The sequence below is a fragment of the Homo sapiens genome, chromosome 2 (genome assembly GCF_000001405.40).
Source record: "Homo sapiens chromosome 2, GRCh38.p14 Primary Assembly".
NCBI lineage: Eukaryota > Metazoa > Chordata > Mammalia > Primates > Hominidae > Homo > Homo sapiens.
Genome location: NC_000002.12, coordinates 98,343,905 through 98,369,802, shown reverse-complemented (window position 1 = coordinate 98,369,802; position 25,898 = coordinate 98,343,905). Strand labels below are relative to the sequence as shown.

General features: G+C 44.7%; 1 protein-coding gene across 5 annotated transcripts in view, besides 1 other annotated feature; it reads right to left on the bottom strand.

Moving 5' to 3' along the window:
* The window catches only part of CNGA3 (cyclic nucleotide gated channel subunit alpha 3), a 52,146-nt gene extending 28,799 nt beyond the window's left edge, over positions 1 to 23,347 (bottom strand). For 4 of the 5 annotated variants that reach the window (XM_047443222.1, XM_006712243.3, NM_001298.3 and 1 more), the window contains exon 1: positions 23,269 to 23,347. The gene's annotated coding sequence lies outside the window, so the exon portion shown is untranslated. Of the gene's footprint in view, positions 1 to 23,185 lie in introns of all 5 variants that reach the window. The other variant, XM_011510554.3, reaches the window with a different exon arrangement.
* Positions 22,336 to 22,847: an enhancer, noted in NCBI's record as "H3K27ac-H3K4me1 hESC enhancer chr2:98963419-98963930 (GRCh37/hg19 assembly coordinates)". NCBI's record gives its function as "activates a minimal SCP1, AML or CMV promoter by ChIP-STARR-seq in primed H9 embryonic stem cells {active_cell/tissue: H9 hESC(primed)}" and the evidence as "EXISTENCE:reporter gene assay evidence [ECO:0000049][PMID:30033119]".

Genomic DNA, 25,898 nt, shown 5'->3' with positions numbered 1-25,898 from the left:
TCCTGCTGCAGTGAGTTTTAGTTGGACATCTCCAGGCTCTTCTTTCTAGCATAAGGCACAAAGTCTTTTACTCATTTGTTTATGCTACCATGCTGAAGAGATGCTCAGAGTTAAGTACTGAATGAGTGAATGAATAAATAAATGAAGGGCCAAGTTGGTATGTGATATAAGGAAGGTGAAGCCCTCATGATTCTTTGAGATGATGCAGTGTCCCTCTTGACCCTGGTTTTCTTGTTTCCTTATTTTTATCTTATAATTTGGCACCTATTTCCACTGCTCCCTCAAATCTTGCTTTAAGACAACATGTAAAAAAAGGACCATATGTGACATTCAGAAAACCTTTACAATATAATGCTAAACCCAATACACGATTCATCTCATTAATCCTTACAGTAACTTTGTGAGGTACTTATTATTTTTATTCCCATTTAAAGATGAATAAACTGAGCGTCAGAGATGTTAAGTAGCTTGTCCAATGAAAGATAGATCCACCTGTCAATGTGGCACAATCCTTGTGAAATCGTCTTGAAAAATTGTAACTAAGAAAATTATGTCAGTGAACGACATAAGACCTAACCAATTCCATCTTGCTTCTAACCTCTAAATTGTCCTTATTCATTCCTGGGCGTAGGCCGAACTAGCCTTGGGAAGGAATTTAATTTATAATTTAAATTAAAGCCCTTTCCCAAAGCTAAACTGTTTTTGTAAAACAACTAAAAGCCCAACAGCCACCAAGTTAGAATGAGAGGGGCTGGAATTCTAAATATTATCAGCCATTATTCCAGAGGTCGTAAGATTCGCAACTTCCCCAGTTACTGTTAAAGGCAACGTCACTATTGTGAGCCTAAGATCGGCCTTTTGAGATGTCTTTTCAGGTTTTCACATTTCTAACAACCGGATGGCCACACCTTGACCTACCAACCAGTTCTGTGGCCTCCACCCAGTAACTGACTCAGCATAAGAGAACAGAGTCAACTCCCTGTGATTTCATCCCTAAGCCAGCCAATCAGCACTTCCGATTCACTGGCCCCCTACCCAACAAATTATCCTTAAAAACCCTGATCCCTGAGTTTTGGGAAGAGTGATTTGAGTAATAATAAAACTCTGGTCTCCTGCACAGCCAGCTCTGTGTGAATTACTTTTTCTCTGTTGCAATTCCCCTGTCTTGATAAGTTGGCTCTGTCTAGGCAGTGGGGAAGGTGAACCCCTTGGGCAGTTACACTTGTGCCAGAAATCAGGTCATGAACATTTTCTCTTTGGCAAACATTGGAAGGTGCCCCTGTGATTGAAAAGAAAGCCTATGTGAGAGCAGGGCTGGTGTGATTGGCCAGTTCCATGATTTTTGGATAAGTCTTTCACTGGAAGATGCATTTCTGAGGATGGTTTCTCTAAAATAGATTAGCACAGGCTCTCTTGAGCAGCCACATCGTTTAAGTGTGTCAGATGTCAGTGGAGACCACTCCGGAGAAAGATGGCAATTTCTAGAAATAGCCCAGGGACTCACTCCAGGACTCAGTTAATTCCAAATCCAAAGGAAGGTCAGAGACAGGAGCCATTGGTGTGGCCATGCACATTTGGCCAACCCTCTGCCAGTTACAAAAGGGCAGCCATCGGCTCAGCAGGGTCCTGACTTGTCTCTGATGTTTGATAGTTTAAGTCTATGAGTTTAAATATTCTGGTTTTCTCAATAGATCAAACATTGTTTTGATTTTTAAACACTTTATTCACTTATGTAACAATGAGTGAGTTTCTGGCTGATCATAGGAGCTATAAAGAGAAATAAAACGAAGCCTGTTCTCAAGGATCTGACAGTGCAGTGGGGCAGGTGCTACAACAGGCTTTGCAGGTTGTGCCCAGGAGCTTGGGCCTTACCCTAAAGCCCAGTAGGAATGTGGTCAGGTGTGTACAGGCCACTCTGGCTAGACCAGGGAGGATGTATTCAGGGAACATGAGTTCCCTGTGAGGTGAGCAGCTAAAAAATTGCCACAGTTTCTTAGGGGAGAGAGAACAACTGCCTGAACTAGCTTTGTGGTAGTGATAGCAAGTGGGTAGAGTTGCCAGGACATGGCAATTTAGGTATAAGGGGTGGGGAGGAAGAGGTGCTGAACACAGTGCCCCAACAGCTGGGGTGATGGGGGGTGTTGCCTGCCCATTGAGACAGGGAACTAGGGGGGAAGCACGTTAGAGAAAGAGAATGATTCCAGTTTGAGATGCCTGCAAAACTTTAGGACCAACATAAGAAATTGTACTCATTAAAAGTAATAAATCCGGGGAGGGACCAAGATGGCTGACTAGAAACAGCTGAGGTCAGCCGGGCGGGGTAGCTCACGCCCGTAATCCCCGCACTTTGGGAGGCCGAAGCGGCTGGATCACAAGGTTAGGAGATTGAGACCATCCTGGCTAACATGGTGAAACTCTGTCTCTACTAAAAACACAAAAAATTAGCCGGGCGTGGTGGTGGGTGCCTGTAGTCCCAGCTACTCGGGAGGCTGAGGCAGGAGAATGGTGTGAACCCGGGAGGCGGAGCTTGCGGTGAGCCGAGATCGCGCCACTGCACTCCTGCCCTCCAGCCTGGGGGACACAGTGAGACTCTGTCTCAATAAAAAAAAAAAAAAAAGAAAAAAAAGAAAAAAAACAGCTGATGTCAGAGGTTCTCACCAAGGAGAATGAAAATGGTGAGTGAATCCTGCACCAGCAACTGAGGTGTCCAGGTTCTCTCAGTGGGACTGACTAGGCAGTCCCAAGGAGAGTGAGGACAAGCAGGGTGGAGCGCCTGCCCACCTGGGAGCGGCACAGGGCAAGGGGACCTCTCATTCTCAGCCAAAAGAGGCGGTGAGTGATTGTGCTACCCTACCCAGGAAACCACGCTTTTTCCATGGATCTGTGCTATCCACAGATCAGGCGATTCCCTCGTGAGCCCACACCACCAGGGCCTTGGGTCTCAAGCACAGAGCTGTGCAGATTCTTGGCGGCCTCTACACTGGAGACTGCCTAAGACTACCGAGCTCCTGGGGAAAGGGGTGGCCGCCATCACTGGAGTTCCAGTCTGCCATTTTCCCCTGCTGGAGTCGTGGAGACTGGGCAGTTTGGGCCCAGGAGGAATTCCCCACAGTGCACCATAGCGGCTGTGGCAGATCGTGGCCAGACTGCCTCTTTAGGCTAAACCCAGACCCATCCCTCCTCACCAGGCAGGGCCTCCCCGCTGGAATTTCAGCAACCCCAGCCAGGGGCTGGATGTCCCTGGGATGGAGCCCCTTGCGGGGAGGGGCTGCTGTGGTATCCACTGAATAGTGGACTTGGTCTCTCCCCTGGCTGGCTTTAAGGAATCGGGCAGTCTGGATGAGTGGGATCCCCCGCAAGTGCAGCGCATGCCCTCTGCTAAGAGTCAGCCAGAGTGCTTTGTTAAGTGGGTCCCTGATCCTGTGCTTCCTGACTGGGTGAGACCCCTCAACAGGGGTCAGCAGAAATCTTAAACAGGCACGTTCTTGCCGGCATCAGGTCAGCGCCCCTTTGAGACGGATCTCCCGGATGAAGGAGCAGGCAGCCATCTTTGCTGTTCTGCAGCCTCCACTGGTAACACCTCCAGGGGCAGGAGGGATCCAGGTGAATGGGGTCTGGAGAGGATCCCCAGCAAACTGCAGCAGCCCTACAAAAGAAGGGTCTGACTATTGAGAAATAAACAAAGCAACAACAGCAACAGCATCAACTAAAAAGTTTCCACAAAAATCCCATCCAAATGTCAGCAGCCTCAAAGACCAAAACAAGATAAACCCATGAAGATGAGAAAGAATCTGCCAAAAATGCTGAAAACTCAAAAAACCAGAGTGCCTCTTCTCCTCCAAATGATCACAACACATCTCCACCAAGGGCACAGAACTGGGCTGAGGCCGAGATGGATTAACTGACAGAAGTAGGCTTCAGAAAGTGGGTAATAACAAACTTTGCTGAGCTAAAGGAGCACGTTCTAACCCAATGCAAAGAAGCTAAGAACCATGATAAAACATTACAGGAGCTGTTAACCAGAGTAACCAGTTTAGAGAGCCACATAAATGACCTGATGGTTCTGAAAAACACAACACGAGAACTTCACAAGTATCAATGGCCAAATAGACCAAGCAGAGGAAAGAATTTCAGAGCTTGAAGACTATCTTGCTGAAATAAGACAGGCAGACAAGATTAGAGGAAAAAAAAATGAAAAAGAATGAACAAAACCTCTGAGAACTACAGGATTATGTAAAAAGACTGAACCTATGACTGATTGGGGTACCTGAAAGAGATGGGTAGAATGGAACCAAGTTGGAAAACACACTTCAGGGTATCATCCAGGAGAACCTCCCCAACCTAGCAAGACAAGCCAACATTCAAATTCAGGAAATCCAGAGAACTCCAATAAGGTACTCCATGAGAAGATCAACCTCAAGACACATAATCATCAGATTCTCCAAGGTTGAAATGAAGGAAAAAATGTTAAGGGCAGGGATTACAGGCTTATGCCACCATGCCCAGCTAATTTTTGTATTTTTAGTAGAGACAGGGTTTCACCATGTTGGCCAGGCTGGTCTCAAACTCCTAACTTCAAGTGATTTGCCTGCCTCGGCTTCCCAAAGTGTTGGGATTATAGGAGCGAGCCACTGGACCTCAGTAGGCTGAGGCAGGAGAATCGCTTGAACCGGGGAGGCGGAGGTTGCAGTGAGCTGAGATTGCACCACTGCACTTCAGCCTGGGTGACAGAGCAGGACCCCAACTGAAAAAAAAAAAATGTTAAGGGCAGCCAGAGAGAAAGGCCAGGTCACCTACAAAGGAAAGCCCATCAGACTAACAGTGGACCTCTCCCCAGAAACCCTACAAGCCAGAAGAGATTGGAGGCCAATATTCAATACTCTTAAAGAAAAGAATTTGCAACCCAGAATTTCCTATCTGGCCAAACTAAACTTCATAAGCAAAGGAGAAATAAAATCCTTTTCAGACAAGTAAATGCTGAGGGGATTCATCAGCACCAGGACTTGCAGGAGCTCCTGAAGGAAACACTAACTATGGAAAGGAAAAACTGTTATCAGCCACTACAAAAACAGACTGAAATACAAAGACCAACGATATTATGAAGCAGCAACCTCAACAAGCCTGCAAAATAACCACCTGACATCATGATGACAGGGTCAAATTCATACACAACTATATTAACCTTAAATGTAAATGGGCTAAATGTCCTGATTAAAAGACACAGAATGGCAAGCTCGATAAGGAGTCAAGACCCATCAGTGTGCTGTATTCAAGAAACCCATCTCAGGTGCAAAGACACAAATGGGCTCAACATAAAGCGATGGAGGAAAATTTACAAAGCAAATGGAAAGGAGAAAAAAGCAGGGGTTGCAATCCTAGTATCTGACAAAACAGACTTTATTTATTTATTTATTTATTTATTTTTGAGATGGAGTCTTGCTCTGTTGCCCAGGCTGGAGTGCAGTGGTGCAATCTCGGGTCACTGCAACCTCTACCTCCTGGGTTCAAGTGATTCTCCTAGCTCAGTCTCCCTAGTAGCTGGGATAACACGCCCATGCCACCATGCCTGGCTAATTTTTGTATTTTTAGTAGAGATGAGGTTTCACCATGTTGGCCAGGCTAGTCTTGAACTTCTGATCTCAAGTGATCTGCCCACCTTGGCCTTCCAAAGTGCTGGGATTACAGGCATGAGCCACCACACCCAGCCTGACAAAACAGACTTTAAAGCAACAAAGATCAAAAAACACAGAAGGGCATTACATAATGGTAAAAGTATCAATTCAACATAAAGAGCTAACTATTTTAAATATATATGCACCCAATAAAGGAGCACCTAGATTCATAAAACAAGTTCTTGGAGACCTACAAAGAGATGCAGACTCCCACACAATAACAGCGGGAGACTTTAACACCCCACTGTCAATATTAGACAGATCATCGAGACAGAAAATTAACAAGGATATTCAGGACTTGAAGTCAGCTCTGGATCAAGTGGATCTGATAGATATCTACAGAACTCTCTACCCGAAAACAACAGAATGTACATAGGTATTGTACTAGGAATGTACATAGGAATGTACTAGGTATTGATGGAACATACCTCAAAATAATAAAATAATAAGAAATAACAAAATAATAAAAGCCATTTATGACAAACCCATATCCAATATCATACTGAATGGGCAAAATCTGGAAGCATTCCCCTTGAAAACTGACACAAGATAAGGATGTCTTCTAGATCCTATATCTAGAAAACCCCATCATCTTGGCCCAAAAGCTTCTTAAGCTGATAAGCAACCTCAGCAAAGTGTCAGGATACAAAAGTCACAAGCATTCCTATACATCAACAGACAAGCAAAGAGCTAAATCATGAATGAATTTCCACTCAAAATTTCTACAAAGAGAGTCAGATACTTAGGAATATAGCTAGTAAGGCAAGTGAAGGACCTTATCAAGGAGAACTACAAACCACTGCTCAAAGAAATCAGAGAGGACACAAATGGAAAAGCATTCCATGCTCATGGATGGAAAAAAATCATTATCATGAAAATGGCCATACTTCCCGAAGTAATTTATAGATTCAATGCTATTCCCATTAAACTACCATTGACATTCTTCACAGAATTAGAAAAAACTACTTTAAAATTCATATGGAAACCAAAAAGAGCTTGTATAGCCAAGACAATCCTAAACAAAAAGAACAAAGCTGGAGGCATCATGGTACCCAACTTCAAACTATGCTATAAGACTATAGTAACCAAAACAGCATGGTACTGATACAAAAATAGGGATATAGACCAATGGAACAGACTAGAAAACTCAGAAATAAGACCACACATCTACAACCATCTGATCTTTAACAAATCTGACCAAAGCAAGTAATGGGGAAAGGATTCCCTATTTAATAAATGGTGCTGGGAGAACTGGCTAGCCATATGCAGAAAATTGAAACTGGACCCCTTCCTTACACCTTTTACAAAAATTAACTCAAGATGGATTAGAGACTTAAATGTAAAACCCCAAACTGTAAAAACCCTAGAAGAAAATATACGCAATACCATTCAAGACAGGCACGGGCAAAGGCTTCATGACAAAAACATCAAAAGCAATTGCAACAAAAGCAAAAATTGACAAACAGGATCTAATTAATTTCAGGTGTGCTTCTGCACAGCAAAAGAAACTATCATCAGAGTGAACAGACAACCTACAGAATGGGAGAAAATTTTTGCAATCTACCCATCTGGCAAAGGTCTAACATCCAGCATCTATAAGGAACTTAAATGAATTTGCAAGAAAAAAAAAACAACATTAAAAAGTGGGCAGGCCGGGTGTAGTGGTTCACATCTGTAATCCCAGCACTTTGGGAGGCCGAGGCAGGTGGATCACCTGAGGTCAGGAGTTCGATACCAGCCTGGCCAATATGGTGAAACCCCATCTCTACTAAAAATACAAATAATTAGCTGGGCGTGGTGGCAGGCGCCTGTAATCCTAGCTACTCGGGAGGCTGAGGTAGGAGAATCACTTGAACCCGGGAGGCAGAGGTTGCAGTGAGCCGAGATAGTGCCATTGCACTCCAGCCTGGGCAACAAGAGCAAAACTCTGCCTCAAAAAAAAAAAAAAAAAAAAAAAGTGGGCAAAGGACATGAAAAGACACTTCTCAAAAGAAGACATTTATGTGGCTAATAAACATATGAAAAAAAGCTTAACGTCACTGATCATTAGGGAAATGCAAATCAAAACCACGATGACATACCATCTCATGCCAGTCATAATGGTGATTATTAAAAAGCCAAGAAGGCCGGGCGCGGTGGCTCACGCCTGTAATCCCAGCACTTTGGGAGGCCGAGGCAGGTGGATCACGAGGCCAGGAAATCGAGACCATCCTGGCTAACACGGTGAAACCCTGTCTCTACTAAAAATACAAAAAATTCTCTGGGGGTGGTGGCGGGCGCCTGTAGTCCCAGCTACTCTGGAGGCTGAGGCAGGAGAATGGTGTGAGCTCGGGAGGTGGAGCTTGCAGAGAGCCGAGATCGCGCCACTGCACTCCAGCCTGGGCGACAGAGCAAGACTCTGTCTCAAAAAAAAAAAAAAAAAAAAAGTCAAGAAAAGGACAGTTGCTTGTGGGGCTGTGGAGAAACAGGAACGCTTTTACACTGTTGGTGGGAGTGTAAGTTAGTTCAACCATGTGGAAGACAGTGTGGCAATTCCTCAAAGACCCAGAACCAGAAATACCATTTGACCCAGTAATCCCATTACTGGTTATATACCCAAAAGAATATAAATTATTCTATTATAAAGATACAGGCATGCATATGTTCATTGTGGCACTATTCACAATAGCAAAGACATGGAATCAACCCAAATGCCCATCAATGATAGACTAGATAAAGAAAATGTGGTACATATACACCATGGAATACTATGCAGCCATAAAAAGGAATGAGATCATGTCCTTTGCAGGGACATGGATGGAGCTGGAAGCCATTATCCTCAGCAAACTAACTCGGAAGCAGAAAACCAAACACTGCATGTTCTCACTTATAAGTGGGAGTTGAACAATGAGAACAGGTGGACACAGTGAGGGGAATAACAACACACACTGGGGCCTCTCCAGGGGTGGCAGGGAGGGAGAGTAACTGGATAAATAGCTAATGCATGCTGGCCTTAATACCTAGAGATGGGTTGATAGATGCAGCAAACCACCATGGCACACATTTACCTATGTAACAAACCTGCACGTCCTGCGCATGTACCCCAGAACTAAAAATAAAATAAAATAAATAAAATAAAATAAAATAAAATAAAAATAAAAATAACACACATATTCATGTGTGTTATCCAAATAGTAGTAGTTATAATATATTGAAATCTGATTTTATTCCAGTCAATGTGCTAAGCTTTTTACATCATTGTTTATTCTAACATGAGAGTCTCTGAGGTGGATGCTATTAGTGTCTTCATTGCATAGATGAGGAAATGGAGGCTTATAACAGGTTATGTAACTTTCCAAAGAACGTGTGAGGTCCAGAAGCCACATTAGGACTCAACCCTATTTGACTTAGTATATGCAGACTTTGGCCAAATCCTTGTCTCCCACCTCCCCCCGGCCTCATTATTTTCAATACTTTAAAATGGAATGTTTATATGTTTTTAGATAAAAAAGCAATAAATCCAATTCAAAATTGTCCATTCAACACTTTTTAATTGAGCACTTACTATGTGCCAGGCAATATGCTAGAAGCTGGGGCTTTATTAGAGAGCTATATGCAGCTCTGTCCTCCAGGAGCTGACAGTCAAGTGGGGTGCAGAGCAAGTCTCAAAGAAGTTTGGGACTCTGTGGAAAAACTATCGAATTACTCTTCTTTGTACATTTCCAGGCAAATTACACCAAATAAAGTGCATTGTCTCCAGCCTGTGCCCCTTCCTTCAGCCCCCTCAGCTGCTTTCTCTATCCTGGGCACAAACTCTGGTCCCACTGCCATTGCATGGAGGCAGTACCTCTGTCCTCCCATAGACCTGCCTCCTGTTGAGGGCCACTAGGTGCCAGCCACAGGTGAGTGCTGTGCAACACTTCCTTACTTAATCCTCACAGCAGCCCCCCTCCCTCTCTTACAAATGAAGAAACTGGACAGGTGAGTCATTTCCTTAAGGTTGCTGCTGAAGGCCGGAGCCAGGATTGACTAAAAATCTGTCTGACTCCAAAACCTGAGAGTGCAAAGTCATTGAGGGAACTGGTATTGCCTTTAGGCCTGGGCAGGAGGGGTCTCTGCTTTAAAGGACCCCATGCTGGCCCTCCTCCAGCCACATCCCTCCCAAAGGGTCGAGAAGCCCATAGAATCAAGGGGCCATGCCCACCGGGAACCCTGCCCCTGCTCCAGCTATGGTCTGAATGCCCCAAACCCCCAGATTCTCTGTCCAAGAGGCTTTCAACTGGTTCTAGAGCCTGCCTGGGACTCTTCCCTGGTCCATCTCCCTGAGTGCACCAGCTTGCACTCCCCTAGGCCCAAGGATGGCCAAGGAGCAGCTGTTTGTGGGGGGTGGGGGAGACAGAGCCTGGAGATGTGGCCAGGGCGTCCACAGACAGGTGTGCAGGGCCTCCTGTGCAAGGCCCCTTTGACGTGGTGTGGACCTAGGGCTGGGGACAGAAGGGGGCAGGTTGTGGGCAGGGAACCAGAGATCAGCTCTCCTCATGACTTCCTGCTCTCAGGCTCAACTCCAAGGGGCCTGAGTACTCTCGGTTTGAACCTGGCCTCCAGGTGGTAATGCAGTGTATTTGCCAGTTTAGGAGGGTGGGCACATTTGATTTAACAGTGTGCTATCTTGGTCCATGTAATGGTCATTTCTGGTCCTCTACCTCGCATCCTTCCTGCCCACCTTTCAGTCCAGCCATTGCTATGGCAACCAGCTGCATGCTGGGTAACCCATGTACTTTGCCTCAGTGACACTGCAGATTCTAGGGCCTTCTGCCTTGGGGGCTTCCTTACTTCCCCCAGGAAACACTTGCTGAGACCACATCACCGTTCTGATACATGTGCAAAAGCTGAAGGGGTAACATCCTTGGGGCAACCCTGGACCAATAGAAGCAGGAGCCTGAGGGAATATACTCTTCCATCCCTCAGGAAGGTGGCTCTGAGACACTTTCTACCTGGCTCCTTGGAGAACCCCTGGTTGCCCAGAGTGGCGATCAGTTTGATAATGGACATCTGGGTTGGCTTGTCCTCTTTCCCTTTTGCCCTCTCCAAGACCCCTACTCCTGTTCCTTGGAATCACTCCCCAAATAAACTGCCTGCCTGCATTCCCTGTTCAAGGCTCTGTTTTGGAGGGGAGTGGGTATCACTGCTAAGAGAATCTTTAACTTTTAGATATTTGGGCTACAGTAAGTGGGTCATTTGTACTCTTGACCCAAGTCCCTCAAGGTTTAGGAGTGAGCCAAGTTTCCCTTTTAATTCTATGTTCTTTATCCAGGAAAACAATGGTTGGAGTAGGACAGGGCAAAATGTACATCACTAAAGGGAAATGTAAGTTTAAGATAACTCAGAAGATCTTTTTTCCCTATTGTCTCATAAGTGTCATAAATGGTTGTCTTTGAAAAAATACATTAAAAAATCAGGAGGAACCAAATAAGGAACCAATCTTGTTGATTGGTTGTTATATCTTCTTGGTATTTTTACCTCTAAAGTTTTTCTCTTTGTGTAGAAATTTCATTATTTGTCCAATGGAGTTTACTACAGTATGAATTTTTGCTAATTCCAACTTTAAAATGTTATCTACTACTGGTAGCTGTACCCAGAAGCTTGGTCAATTTATTAATTTTTTTTTGCATGACAATTTCATAGGGGATTCTTTGTTCTTCCATCAGAAGGTACATAAGATCTTATATTTCTCTGGGGGACATTAGCAGCTGTTGATGTTCATTTGCTAGATCCATCAATTCATTAGAGGTTGCAAGTTGGTGGTATTCTACCATTCCTTCCTCAATTAGCTGAAATATTTTTAAAAGAAAAAATTTTACTCTTAATTATTTGATTGGTCAATTCCTATAGGAAAGGCCGAATAAACAATTATTTCCCTGTATTTATCAGTTTTTGAGTCATGACATCTTAAGAGATTACCCAACCACTGCATGTGTTTTCACATCTGGCCCTGCCTTGATAAACTCTTTGTGAGTAGAACTCACCAATGAGATAATGAAACCACAATCAGTGATCCTGAGGCTCTGTGGACAATGAAAGCTGCCATCTAGCCAGGGCCCCCTGGGTGCGAGGCACTTCCATATCCATCACGCGTGAATCCTCAGTAACCCCAAGAGGGAATAGTGATGCTCATCTTGCAGATAAGGAAATGGACCCCTGGGCCTGTCTCACTCTGAAATCCACATTATGGCTTGTTCTGTTTATCACAGGCACTGCAGGAGATTGGAAATGTACAAATGGAATTTTAATTTTCAAAACTAGCAAGAAGATGCATTCTGCAACTGTGAAGGTGACCTTGAAGTGGATCCCAGGCGTGAGTCTAGGAGTGGTTTTTGAGCATCTCCCAAATGAATGTGTATTTTCTAGGACTTAACTGGAGAGCTAAGAACATGCCATTTCAGGCAATTTCCATTTTCTTTACAACATGACTAAATCTAGCATGTCCCCCTGCCACCAGCCCCCTTACTGACTCCTTGCCAATGATGTCCCAGGCACTATACCTGGTCCTGAGAATTGTGAAGATGAGGAAGACAGATCTCTGCCATTGAGAGCACAACATTTGCATGGGGAAAACAGGCGTGTTAAACAGTGAGGGTAAGGTAGTGCAAATGGTGTTGAAATACAGGTAGAGGCACGATGGGTGCAATGCAGGATGGGGAGGAAATCCTTAATTCTGCCTTAGGGACCATTAAGGAGGCTTCCCAGGTGAGAAGCCATCACATTTACTTAGCACTATTCAACATTTACCATTACAGTGTTACATGTACCACTTACAATCACATTTTGCTGTGTACCTTCAAGGATTCAGCTGTGACTTTTGCACTCCAGTGCTCATCCTGGGCTCTCTCCACTGTCATTGGCCCGGACGCCTGAGTAGTCAGGCATTTAACGCAGCTCACTGTATTCCAGTTATTCTTGTACTTTTCTTGTTCCTTTACTGACTCCAAAAGCCTTAAAGGCAAGAACTGCCTCCTTTTACCTAAAAAACATTTTATTCTTCAAACACCCGGCACATACATTTAGTAGGTAGTAGAGCGTGTGATAAATGGAGGAACTGGTGAGGAATCATCATGACGACACTGATAATAACAGCCACGTATTTATTGTTTAATCTTTGCCTGTTACTGTTCTAATAACTTTAAGTGCATATTTACTCATTTGATCCTCACAATGATTGTGTGAATGAGTCACACTGAAAATTTCCATTCCACTTGGAATTTATAAGTGGGAATTTATGAGAGAGCAAACATACTACAAAGGAGGGCCAAACATTTCGAGCCCCTTGCTCTAGACTGAACGTGCTTCCGAAAGAAAACCTTGCTCCCCATTCATGATGACTAACTGACCATTTACACTCAGTTTGTTTGTTCTCTGTCTTCTTTTTTATTGTGACCTGAACATCAAAACTAATCCTGGTGCAATTTGTGTGGTTTGAAACATTACCATTTTCCAAGTCTGAATGCAGCTGACAATGGAGAGACAACACAGAGGTGTCCATAGCCCTGTATGGATGCACTGTAAGTCCACTGGAAGTCGTTCTGAATGATCATCATCCTTGGGGAGGAGACTCTATTCAGCCAGGGTTTGGCGGGTCCAATTAGTGAGGTGCCGAGTCTGGACACAAGCCATGGCAAACAAGCCGAAATCTCAATCAGGACAGAGTACAGAGTCTTGATGGACAGGCATACTTAGCCCAGGCCACTGTTTTCTCCAGCAGAGACTGATCACTGGGGTCTTCTATCTTACTTCTCAGAAGTAATCTTCTCAGACTCTGTCTGAGTCTGATTCATTTCAGTCCTCCAAAACTCAACCTTCTCAGCATCACCCTGGACAAATGCACTCAGCAAGTTATCAGTAAATGTGAGGCTGGGCAGGCTCGCTTCATCAAATTAAACTCCAAAGATAAGTCAAGAACTCCCCCAGGGTCTACATACTTTGAAACTTTTCTAAAACACTTTTCCAAAATACTCTTCCAATTGCCTTTCCCTTATGCCCCCATCCTGCTTGAGAACTGCAGGGTAGAAGGGAAATTCTCCAGTGCTGAAGCACTTAATTACCCTGAGACCTGTGAACCACCCCACAGAGCTGACGTGGGCACCACACTGACATTCCTACAGCCGGCAAAGAGGCCTGGTGATTTGAAGCAGAGTCCTAGGCTTATGGAGAGAGAAAACCCTGAGTGAAATATCTTTTGTTTGACTCAAATCACATTTGAAAGGCAGTATAAGTGGTTAAGGGCACTGGCCTGAGAGGAAGGAGAGATGGCTTCTCTTCCCAGCTTAGCCTCCAATGTGGGTAAGTGACCAGCACTTTAATTTTTTCATCTAATAATAGAAATGGCCTTATTTAAAATGAAATAATCCACAAAACCCTGATGCATAAAGCATTTACTTATTGTATTTTATTTAAAAGTATTTGATAACTTTGATAAAGACAATTAGTGGGACACAAGTTAATTTTGGCCATGATAGTCAATATATTAAAGTTTGGTACAGAAGACATGTCAGTGCTATCTTTATATAAGAGTTTTAAAAATATTTAAATATACCTTTTAAAAAACTTAAAATATGTGCAGAACATCTTAAGAAACTGTGGAACAGAGTTGAAAATCATAGGCCCAGTTGATTATTAAAAGTCCTTCAATTCTAGAAGTTCCATGATGGAGCAAAACACTATATGCAAATATTACACCTGAGGGTCCTCTTATATTTTATGTGTGAATGTGAACCTATGTGGAAAAAATAAAAACATTCCAGAGCTTCAAAAACAGAAAGGAAAACTATATAATGTTAATATTTTTGGAAACTGTATAAGAAAAGTGAAAACAATTTGAATATCAGAATTTACATGAAAGGACACTTCGAAACTCAGATTAATATGCAAAAGTTCTCAACAAAATACTAGTAAACTATATCCAGCAACATACAAAAGGATTTCACAGGGAAACCAAGTGATGTTTATCCCAGAAATGCAAAATAGACTTACCCAAACTCAATCAATGTAATACTCCCTCCTAATAGAATAAAGGGCAAAGACCTCATAATCATCTCATGAACACAGAAAATGCATTTGGCAAAAATCCAACATGCTTTCATGGTGAAAATAATTTAAAAACTAGGAGTATAAGGAAACTTCCTCAACCTAACAAAGGGTATCCATGACACAACCACAGTTAACAGCACGGTGAATGGTGAAAGTGATAAAAGAAAAAATAGATTGGACTGCATCAAAATAAAAATGCCTTTGTGTATCAAAGTATGCCATCAACAAAGTAAAAAAGCAATCTAAAGAATGGGAGAAACTATTTTCATTTTTTATTTCTTTAGAGACAGAGTCTCACTGTGTCACCCAGGCTACAGCACAGTGGTTTGATTACCGCTCACTGCAGCCTTGACCTCCTGGGCTCAAGCCAGCCTCCAACTTTAGCCTCCTAAGTAGCTGGGACCACAGGTGCACACCACCATGCCTAGCTATATTTTAAATTTTTTGTAGAGATGGTGTCTCTCTATGTTTCCCAGGCTGGTCTCAAACTCCTAGGCTCAAGCGATCCTTCTGCTTCAGCCTCCCAAAGTGCTGGGATTGCAGAATATATTTTTAAGACATATATTGGCATATATCCACAAGATATAAAGAACTCTTATAACTCAATAACAAAAGTCAAATAACTCAATTAAAAAGCAGGCAAAGGATTTGAATAGACATTTATCTGAAGAAGATACAGAATGGCTAAGAAGCACATGCTAACATTCTCCACGTATTTAGTCATGAGGAAATACAAATCAAAAGCACAATGACTTACTACAGTTGGCCCTCTCATCTGCAGGTTCTGCATCTGCAGATTCAACCAATCACAGATTGAAAATATTTGAAAAAAACCAAAACAATAAAGAATAACAATACAACAATAAAAATAAAACAAATAAAAACAATACAGTGCAAACTATTTACATAGCATTTACACTGTATTAGGTACTACTATAAGTAATCTAGAGATGACTTAAAGTACAGTACACAGGAGGTTGTACGTAGGTGATATGGTTTGGATCTATGTCCCCTCCCAAATCTCATGTTCTGTTGTAATCCCCAATGTTGGAGGTGGAGCCTTGTGGGAGTAATTGGCTCATAGTGGTGGATTTCTCATGAATTATTTAGCACCACTGCCTTGGTGCTGTTCTGATGACAGTGAGTGAGTTCTCATGAGTTCTGGTCATTTACAAGTGTGTGACACCTCCCCCACTTGCCCCTACTCCTGCCATGATGTGCATGCTCCCCCTCAGGCTTCCACCATGATTGTAAGTTTCCTGAGGCTTCCCAAGAAGCTGAGCAGATGCCAGCATAATGCTTCCTGTACCATCTGCAGAACTATGAGCTGAGTAAACCTCTTTTCTTTATAAATTACCAAGTTCTCAGGTATTTCTTTATAGCAATATAAGACTGGACTAATACAGTAGGTTATTTATTAGATTGGTAATGGCAAAAACCACAATTACTTTTGTACTAACCTAATGCAAATACTATGCCATTTTGCATAAGTGACTTCAGCTTCTGTTAAATTTTGGTATTTGTGGGTAGGTCCTGGAACAAATGCTCCTCAGATACTGAGAGATGACTGTACTCAACACTGACTAGGATGGCTATAAAAGGTCCTTCCATTCCAGAAGTTCCATGATATAATAAAACCCTACAATGCAAATATTATACTTGAGTGTCCTCTCATATTTTGTGTGTGAATATGAACCTAGGTGGAGGAAATAAAAATTATTACAGAGCTTCAAAAACAGAAAGAAAAAGAACTATAAAATGTTAATATTACCATAACAAGTGTTAGTGAGTGTGTTAGGGTTCTCCATGGAAACAGAACCAATAGGATATATATACCATTGATCCTTAAACAGCATGGGTTTGAACTGTACACGTCCACTTCTATATGTTTTTCTTTCAATAAATATATTGGAAAAAATTTTGGAGATATGTGACAAATGGAAAAACCCCATTTTTTCTTGCTTAATCTATTGTAAGAATACAGCCTGTAATACATAGAACTTACAAAATATGTGTTAATTGGCCATTTATGTTATAGGTGAGGCTTGTGGTCAACAGAAGCCTATTAGTAAATCAGTTTTGAAGAAGCCAAAAGAGTTATATGTGGATTTTTGACTGCATAGGGGATCAGCACCCCAATCCCTGCATTGCTCAAGGGTCAACTGTATATACATATGATTTATTATAAAGAATTAGAGGCTGAGAAGCCCATGAGCTGCTGTCTGTAAGTTGGAGACCAGAAAAGCCAGTGGTGCAGTTCTGAGAACCAGAGGGCCAATAGAGGGCAGGAAACTGATGATGTCCCAGCTCAAAGAATGAATTCCCCTTTCTTCTACATTTTATCCTACCCGGGCTCGCAATGGATTGAATAGTGGCCACCAACACTGGGGAGGGCAATCTGCTTTACCCAGTCCATGGATTCAAATACTAATCTCATCTGGAAACTCGCTCACAGACACCCCCAGAAATAATGTTTTATCTGGGCACCCTGTATCCCAGGCAAGATGATACATACAATTAACCATTTTCCACAATGTGATGTGGAAAAACTGGAAGCCTCATTCATTGCTGGTGGGAATGTAAATGATGTAGCCACTTTGGAGAACAGCTGGGCAGTTCCTCAAAATGTTAAACATGAGTTACCATGTGATCCAGGAATTCCACTGCTAAGCTTATACCTAAGAGAAATAAAAACATGTCCACACAACAACTTGTACATGAATGTTCATAGCAGCATTATTTACAGTAGCCCTAAGTGGAAACGACAATCATTTATTAGGGCCTATCCACCGATAAATGGATAAACAAAATGTAGTATGTCCACATAATGGAATGTTATTCAGATGGAATCTTATTTGGCGATAGGAAAGAATAAAACAGTGATACATGCTACAACATGGGTGAACCCTGAAAATATTATGCTAAGTGGAAGAAGCCAGACAAAAAGAGTCACATAATATATAATTTCATGTACATGAAATGTCCAGAATAGGCAAATCCATTAAGGCAGAAAGTAGAGTAGAGGTTGCCTGGAGCAGGAGTGGAGAGAAGGAGAAAGAGGAATGACTGCTAATGGATACGGGGTCCCTTTTGACAGTGTTGAAAAGTTCTAAGATTATAATGTGGTGATGGTTGCACAACTATAAATATACTAAAAACCAGTGAAATGTGCATTTTAAATGGGTGACATTTGTGGCATGAAAATTATATCTAAAAAGAAATAATTTTAAATCTAAAATCAAAACACTTTTTAAAATGCAAAACTCACAATATCAGCTACAAGAAACTCATGAAACATAATAAAGGGGAGAAATGCCAAAATATGACATTAATAATAATGACCATCACATTTTTGAGGGCTTACATTATACCAGTCACTGCTCTATAACTTTTTACGTGTATCAACTCATTTTATCTTTTCAATAACCTTATGAGGTAAATATTATTCTTATCCCCTGTATTAGTCCATTTTCATGCTGCTGATAAAGACATACCCGAGAATGGGTAATTTACAAAAGAAAGAGGTTTAATGGATTTACAGTTCCACATGGCTGGGGAGGCCTCACAATCATGGTGGAAGGAGGAGCCAGTCACATCTTACATGGATGGCAGCAGGCAGAGAGAGAGCTTGTGCAGGGACGCTCCCCCTTATAAAGCCATCAGATCTCATGAGACTTATTCACTATCATGAGAACAGCATGGGAAAGGCCTGCCCCGATGATTCAATTACCTCCCACTGGGTCCCTCCCACAACACGTGGGAATTCAAGATGAGATTTGGGTGGTGACAGAGCGAAACCATATCATCCCCATTTTACAGAGGAGCAAACCGAGGTACACAGTTCACACAGCCAGGACTTCAACAGGCAATCTAATTGTAGAGCCTGCAAGCTTTTAAGCTCTTGCCTCTCAAGAAACAAAGTAACTTCTGGGACCAATAAGTATTAAAGCTTCCTCCATCTGCCCAAGAAAGGTCCCAAAAAGACAGTTCAAGTCTTAGACAACAAGGGTGTATCCTGTTGTGCTCAGGGTTGAGCTGTGAGGTGATGAAGGGAGATGAAGGTCAGAATCCAATTCCTCCTCTCTATGGTGGCTGTCCCAAACCCATCAAGGTCCCTCCACCATGATGGAGATAACGAGTCTGAGTTGGGAGAGTTGAGTCTTGTTTCCCAAAGAAACTTTCTCATGACAGGAAGGTAGAGTTATCTCTCTCTGAACTCCAGCATTTTTATAACAAGAGCAAATGGAAGCTTCCAAATGTCAGCTGCAAAGTTTCAATTCCTGTCTGAGAAGAAAGTTAAGATTGTTCTTAAGAACAGGAAGAAATTTGGAGTAAAAGAAAATGCACTGAAATTGGATCAAGATGATCAATTATGTTTCTTAACCAAGAGGCAGGGGCTTGTCTCATGCCTAGAAAGTGTCCTGGTCTCTGCAGAGATGATTCAGAATTAATGGGACTCTGAGTTCCTCAGCTCTGAGTGTGCTCAGTTTTGGAATTGCTGCTTTGTAAAAAGATTCAGCTGTTCAGGTTGAGATTGCAAGAGGATGAAAATGCTTTTCGGACCTTACCAGAGCTGGGGAAACAGAGCTCTCCATAGCCAACTCTATAGATGCTCCAAACCTAATTGCAAGCATGGAAGGCAAAGTGTTTTTTTTCTTAATTAACTTTTGTGGTGTGATTATAAAAGTAACACATTGCTTTTATTTTATAAGGAGGTAATAAGATGTCCATATCTAACTTTGAGCACTTACGATATGTCAGGCACTGAGCTGAGGATTTCATTTCAATTACTTCATTTAATCCCCACAACAACTCGATGAGGAAGGCATTATAATTATTACTACTGCCAAGGTATACACCAAGAAGCTGAGACTCAGAATGATTAAATACCTTGGTTCAAAGTCACCCAGTGGCAGAGCCTGGGGGCAGAAGCCGGTTTAACTTTAACCCCTACACTGTATTAGTATAATTCTAGGTGAAATGTATGAATCCTGCAAAGGAGGACAAAAGAAGCACTCTGGGGATTAGATGAGTTCTCGGGTGCAGGCCGAGTTCAGGAAAGAGTTTTCCTTGGAGCAAAACTATTCTGAATGGCATCACTGTCTCCCCCAGCTACTGTCAAGCATGCTCTTCCTCCCTGCAGTACTGTCTTGGTTAATGCCATGAGCAACACCCAGAGCCAACTGACTACCCAGCTAAGACTGTGTGAGCTTTCACTCCTCCCTCTCCCTTACTGCCCCAGATCCAGCATCAGTCACAGCAACAGCTATCTCTCTCCTCCATCCCCTCCAACTCTTTTATTTACTAATTCAGAAATGTACTGAGCACTCACCCTGTGCTAGTCTAGTGTATAGACTAGACAGGTGTATAAGTGTGGAATCAGAACAGAGGTTGCTTCTGGTCTCTTTGAGCTCTGTTCCTGCCTTGATCCAGGCCTTTCTCTCTCCCCAGGATGGCTGAAATAGTTATCTTTGCTCATCTCCCATCTTCAGGCTGTCACTCCTACAATCCATCCATTCTCTGGCACTAAGGAGGTGCTCAATGAGTATAGAATGAATAAATGTGTAAATGAATGAACCTTCCATAGTGACCCCAGAATCTTTATGAAAGGTAGTTCTAATTATGTCACTCTTCTCAGAAGCTTTTAGAGGTGCCTATTTTCTCCAGCACGCAGTCTCCATTTCTTAGCCTGATGGTCAAGACTTTTCATAATTTGGATCAAGTGAGCCTAAACTGGATGCTCATCTAAGCCAAATTACTCACCCTTCCCTTATGTGTATTGTACATTTGGTTTTTTTTTTGCCCCCACCTACTGGCAGAGACAGTGCTCACCAAAGCCCATCTTGTGCCTCCTGCATTTTCCAGCCTCCCTTTCAGGCCAGGTGAAGGCTGAGTGACGGGTTCTGGCAAGTGGACTCCCCCCATGATGCAGGACTCCCCAAAAAATCAGACATTGCATAAGCAAAGGGAGAAGCCACCAAGATATTCCAAGTCTATACGTCACCACAGCAGGGCCTTACTCTCTCCTGACTAATCCACACATCCTTGCTTCTGCCTAGAGAGATTTTCCTCTCTTGCTGGCCAGTTGATTTCAAGTTTCAGTTGCAACATAACCTTGCTGGGGAGGCCTACCCTGACCAGGAGTCAGTCACTCCCACCTCTCTCAACTCTCAGGGCTCTGTTATCACCTCCATTTACACCCGGAATGCAGGCCACCTGGTAGGTTGCACAAGGGTTTGTCTGCCACACTACACTGTGAGGTCCCAGAGGGCAGGGACTGTGTCTGTTTAAAATTTTGTTTCTCCCACCAGACTGAGCCTTGTCCTTTGTACTCAGAAATATTCAGGGTGTTACCAAAATGCATTAGGTCAGAGAGAAAACTGTTTACCCCCAGCCTCAGTAGAGAAAAAAGCATGGCCCATCTCAACCTTGAGGCCACAGTGGTTGGTGGGGGATTAGCAGGGGTTTCAGGTGAGCAGGACGCTGTGGGAATGAGGGAGGAAGGGGAGGGCGGGACGGAGAAGGGTTCTGGAACCTGGTCACTGCCGTCCCCGCCCCACTCCCTAGGGAAACTAGCGGCCAGAGCTGGAAAGAGCCTGAGTAGCTTCCAACTGTTTACCTTCTGGGTACCATGGCGACTGGAGACTGGTCGCCATGGCAACCTCAATATTAATCAGAGGCAGCCACCACTAGCAGATGGTGAATGAGGACAGAAAAGACATAGAAACAGGAGCATCAAAGGCAAGTGCACACGTAGTCACGGCCAAAGTCCCAGCTAAAGTGATTAAGATCCTGCCTCCACCAGCCAGTCACCCCAAGAACCACCGCTCCTCCCCTCCGGGCATCTACACAGGAGGAGGCCCCTCTCTGTGGCTGAACCGAGGCTGAAGAGGAAGTGCGGTGTTTGGGCATTGGTGCGAAGCAGGGGGAGTTCCTGTCCTTCCCCCTACCCCAAAGAACGCAAAGAAGCTCCCACCAGCTTAGTGAAATCCCATCTGGGTCCTCTGACCTGGCCGACTTTTCTACAACTGGGACTCTGGCGTAGAAGACCCAGTTGGTGGATACCACACACAAGTGACCATCTCTCCTCTCCCGGCCCAACCACCCGCGTCCCCCATGAATTCTCAGCGTGAACGCACGCTGTACATTGGACTCCGTGCCCAGACAGCACTATTCTTGCTGGTTTTCATGAATGAAAGTGTGTATGTGTTGGGGGGAGGGGGTGGCGGACAGTGCATAATGTTAGGGGCACCGAGCTGTCCACTCCGGGATGGAGTCTGAACCCGGGTGGGTGCCATTCCTGCTGATCCCAGCCTCGCCCCTTTGGAAGATGTGATGGGGAGCGTCTGCCGTCGGGGTGCCGGGCTTCGCTGCAAGGGACTGCTCCCGCCAGCTTCCGGCGAGGCCTGAGCCGGCGGACTGCGTGTCAGAGGCACCTGGTTCAGGCCAAAGAGGCCGGGGCGCCGGCTCCAGGTCCTCTAGGTTCCAGCGCCATTCATCCTCCCTCACGCGCCGCGCCAACCGGAGACCCCCGCTGCAGAGGGCCGAAGTTAAAGTCCCAGCTGCGCCGCTCAGTAGGGAGATTACACAGGGAGAAAAATGAATCACCCGGCCCGGGGTTGCGGGACTGCGAGGGCCTGCGCGCCAAGGCCCCCAGGGGCGTCGGGAGGGGCCGCGGGCTGAGCTAAAGAGAAAAGCCTGACGGCTGGGAGCCCGGCGCCTTTATCCGGTTAGGGGATTGCAGAGGATCAGAGAGCCCGCCGCCCCTTCTCCTCCATCACCGAGCACTAAGCCCCGGGCGTCCGAGATCCCGGGTGTGATTTTATCATTAAAAAAAGTAACCGCGCACTCCTAAAAGAATTTTAATTCTCGCCTCCTCCTCAGCCTACCTTTCTCTTTGAATCCCCAAGGGAAAATAGTCCCCTGGGTTGGGGGGCAGTCCTTCGCCGCTGCCTTCCCCCGGCCCTGCTCCCTCCAGGCCACTGACTCAACCTCCCCCGGCGCGGCGCGGACTCGAGAAGACGCGGCGCCCGCTCCCGACTTGGAGCCGGGGAAGTGGGTCCTTCCCGGACTGGCGGTCCGGGGACAGCGTGACAGGAGGAAATGTATGGGGTGGGGTCGCGGCTGCAAGCCCTACCCGTCCCCAGCGGGAGCCAGCCCTGCTCCTTCTGCCTCCCGCCCCGACGGCTCAGCGGGCTCGGCCCAGCGCGGCTGTGGGACGTGAGTAAAAGGGGGTGCGATCGGCTTGGGGAGCACGGGGAGGGCTTCCTGTCCTTTGAACTGGACTGGAGGGGTATGGGAGCCGGGGAGTGGGAGCCGAGGCCGTAGCCGATCCTTTTTCACTTTCTCTCCAGCCCGCGGCCCGTTTCAGCACCGGGGGCTGCGGACAGCGCCGCGCCCGCCCCTGGAAGCAGCAGCATCCCTCCCCTGCGTGTGGTTCTCTAACTTACCTCCTGTATGGGGTCTGCGGCCCCAGCACACCTCCCGGCGCCCCCCAAAAAATTCCAGCTCAAGAGCCCCTAAAAATCCTTACCCTGCCAAAGTTTGAGCTTCTCCGCGGCGCGCCAGGGTCTGCGGAGCGCCTCCTCCCTCGGCCTCCTAGGCGCAGTTCCGCTCGCTCCCTCCCCCGCGCTCCCGGCCCAGGACTCTGCTCGGCGACTGCTGAAGGAGCCTGTGGCCTCCCTCTCCGTGGGAAAGTAAGGTGAGGCTCTGGAGCCTCAAAGGCGGTCCGAAAGAGGCAGAAGTCATTAGTTCACATCCCCAACCCTCCCAGGGAGGACGGGGAGAGTCAGGGGCAAGAAAGCAAACAAGTCCGTCGTTCCGTTCTGGGTTCTCTCCTAACTGTGGGCGGCCACCCTGGACTCCTTCCTGGGATGTTTTGCTGGTAGTGTAATCCACACTGGATGAGTAAGCAACAGAGATCTGGGGTTTGAAGTTTAAAGGTGGGGACACACACACACACACACGCACAAAGTCTTGGACCCGTTTGCCATCTTAGGGAAGATGTTAGAAACAAGTTTCTCTTTGGGACAATGTGTATTCTCCTTGCAGAGTTTTTGTTTCCTTCCATCACATCAGATAACATCGGATTTCCTGAACTAAAAATTAAAACCACCAATCCAGCTAGTAATTATTTAACCCCTATTGAAGCCCAAGGAACTTAAACTCTTTTTGGAGAAAATAACTTTATTTACTAAAACTCATTTTCCTCCCAGAAGGTGTACTTCCAAGAACACACCTCTCCATGAAGGATGAAGACCGAATCCTGCCTTTCCCTCACCAGCAATTGCATGCTCTGGTTCTGGATCGCAGGAGCAGGTCCCGGGAGGAATCCAAGCCTCCTTGCCTGGGACAAGCCTCTTGGGTTCCAGGTTCTCTTGACTGATACCCTCATGGGAAGAAACTCCACAAAAGCAGATCCCACCGCAGCCAGCTAACCAGAGCTTCTCTGAGGACTTGGAGTACATGGCATTTCCTAGCATACTTATCAAATCGCCTGTTAATTGAACACATTATCTTTAGAAGGCTTAAGTTCATCGAGTTCATGCAATACTTGAAGGGAGAGATGAAGTGTATGTTTTTCACTGAAGAAATAAAGAATTAGAATGGCTCACACACACATGTGCATGTGTGCACACATGTCATGTCTTAAAGGGGGGAAGTAAAACCTAGACAAATTTTCCCCCAAAGAAAATCAGGCTTAGTCGTTCAGATTCAAGGGACTCTGGTAGTGGAAGAGCAAATAAATGGAAGTGGTGAATCAACAAAAGGAAGCCAAAGCCACAGAAGTTGGAAGAGAGGAGAATTCTTATTTTATTACTTGGGCTTCTGAAAGGAACCTGAAATTATAATAATTTCAAGAGAAAATATAATAGATGAGACTTTGCCTCATTGAGGACTTCAGTATTCTTATTCCAGGGAATCTCCACGTGCCTCAATTATGAATCTCCACGTGCCTCAGTTGTTATGTGCATTTTTTTTATAGTTCTCATTGTCAGGAAATGCTTTATTTCTTCTAATCTCATTAATTTATGCAACAAGTTAAAGCTGTTTCCTGCTGGCTTGTCCTCAGGGAAGACTGGAAGCAGATGATTATTTTCTGTTGTCCAGAAACATTTCAGAGTTTCAAAAGAATCTTAAATCCTGATTTTGGAGTAAATAGTAGTGATCATGAGATCATTTTAAGGCATCATCCTGAAAAATCCCCTTGGACTTTGTTTCTGAAATGCACATCATTCCTAAGATTTGAAGGGGAAAACAAGACCTCACAGAATTAATCAAGAAATGGAGAAGTGTCCTGAGTCTGATGAAATGAGATAGAGTGTTTAGCACAGAAATGGGCACATAGTTGGCCCCTAGGGAATGATGTATGTGGCAATAGTTATCATTGAAGAACTTTGGGTGTCTGAAAAGTGGAAACAGATGAAGAGACTGGAAATGAATGGAAAGAGACTGAAGGGGATGTATCTGTGAATTTGCCTGCAAAAGTCATCGAGCTGCAAGATCCTAGGCTGCCATGATGGAGGGTCCAGATTTGGCCCAATGCTCACTCAATGGAGTGGCCTCTGGGGACCTTTCCAATTATTGCTCAAGCTTCAACTGAGGCATGGTCGAGTGTGGAAGGGACAGCAAGATTTTGTGAAGATGCAGGATACAGCAACCTCTGAATAAATTAGTGGGATGCTCTAACAGGCCCATGGCACTAAGAGACCAAGGAGCGCGATTCTCAGAAACCCAAAGTCTTTTGGTGTTTGTTAGAATAGGGAGACCACAGGAAGAAGAGAGCTATGGAGAAAGCACCATCTCCTCTTTCTGACAGAGCAGGTGAGAGTGGGAGGAAGGGGGTGGGGGCCAGGTGAATGCTAAGTTGCTTCAGCCTCAGCCAGGACACTAAGGAAGTGGGGAGGGGTCTGTGGGGAAAAGAGTAGCACCCAGGAGCTGAGGAAGTCTGGAGCCAGGGAGCCTGATGAGACCAGTTCTATCCACCTGTGAATTCGGTGCCAGGAAATGAAAGGAAAATACCAGCCAAGCCCAGATGTATTGAGTCTGAGCGTAAGTGTGTACATGTGTGGCTCGGGGGACTCCTCAATGATGTTTAGTTGTGTTTTTGAAATTTAGAAACAATGTGATAGTCTATGTAGTCTCCTGGGATTTGCTTTTGTC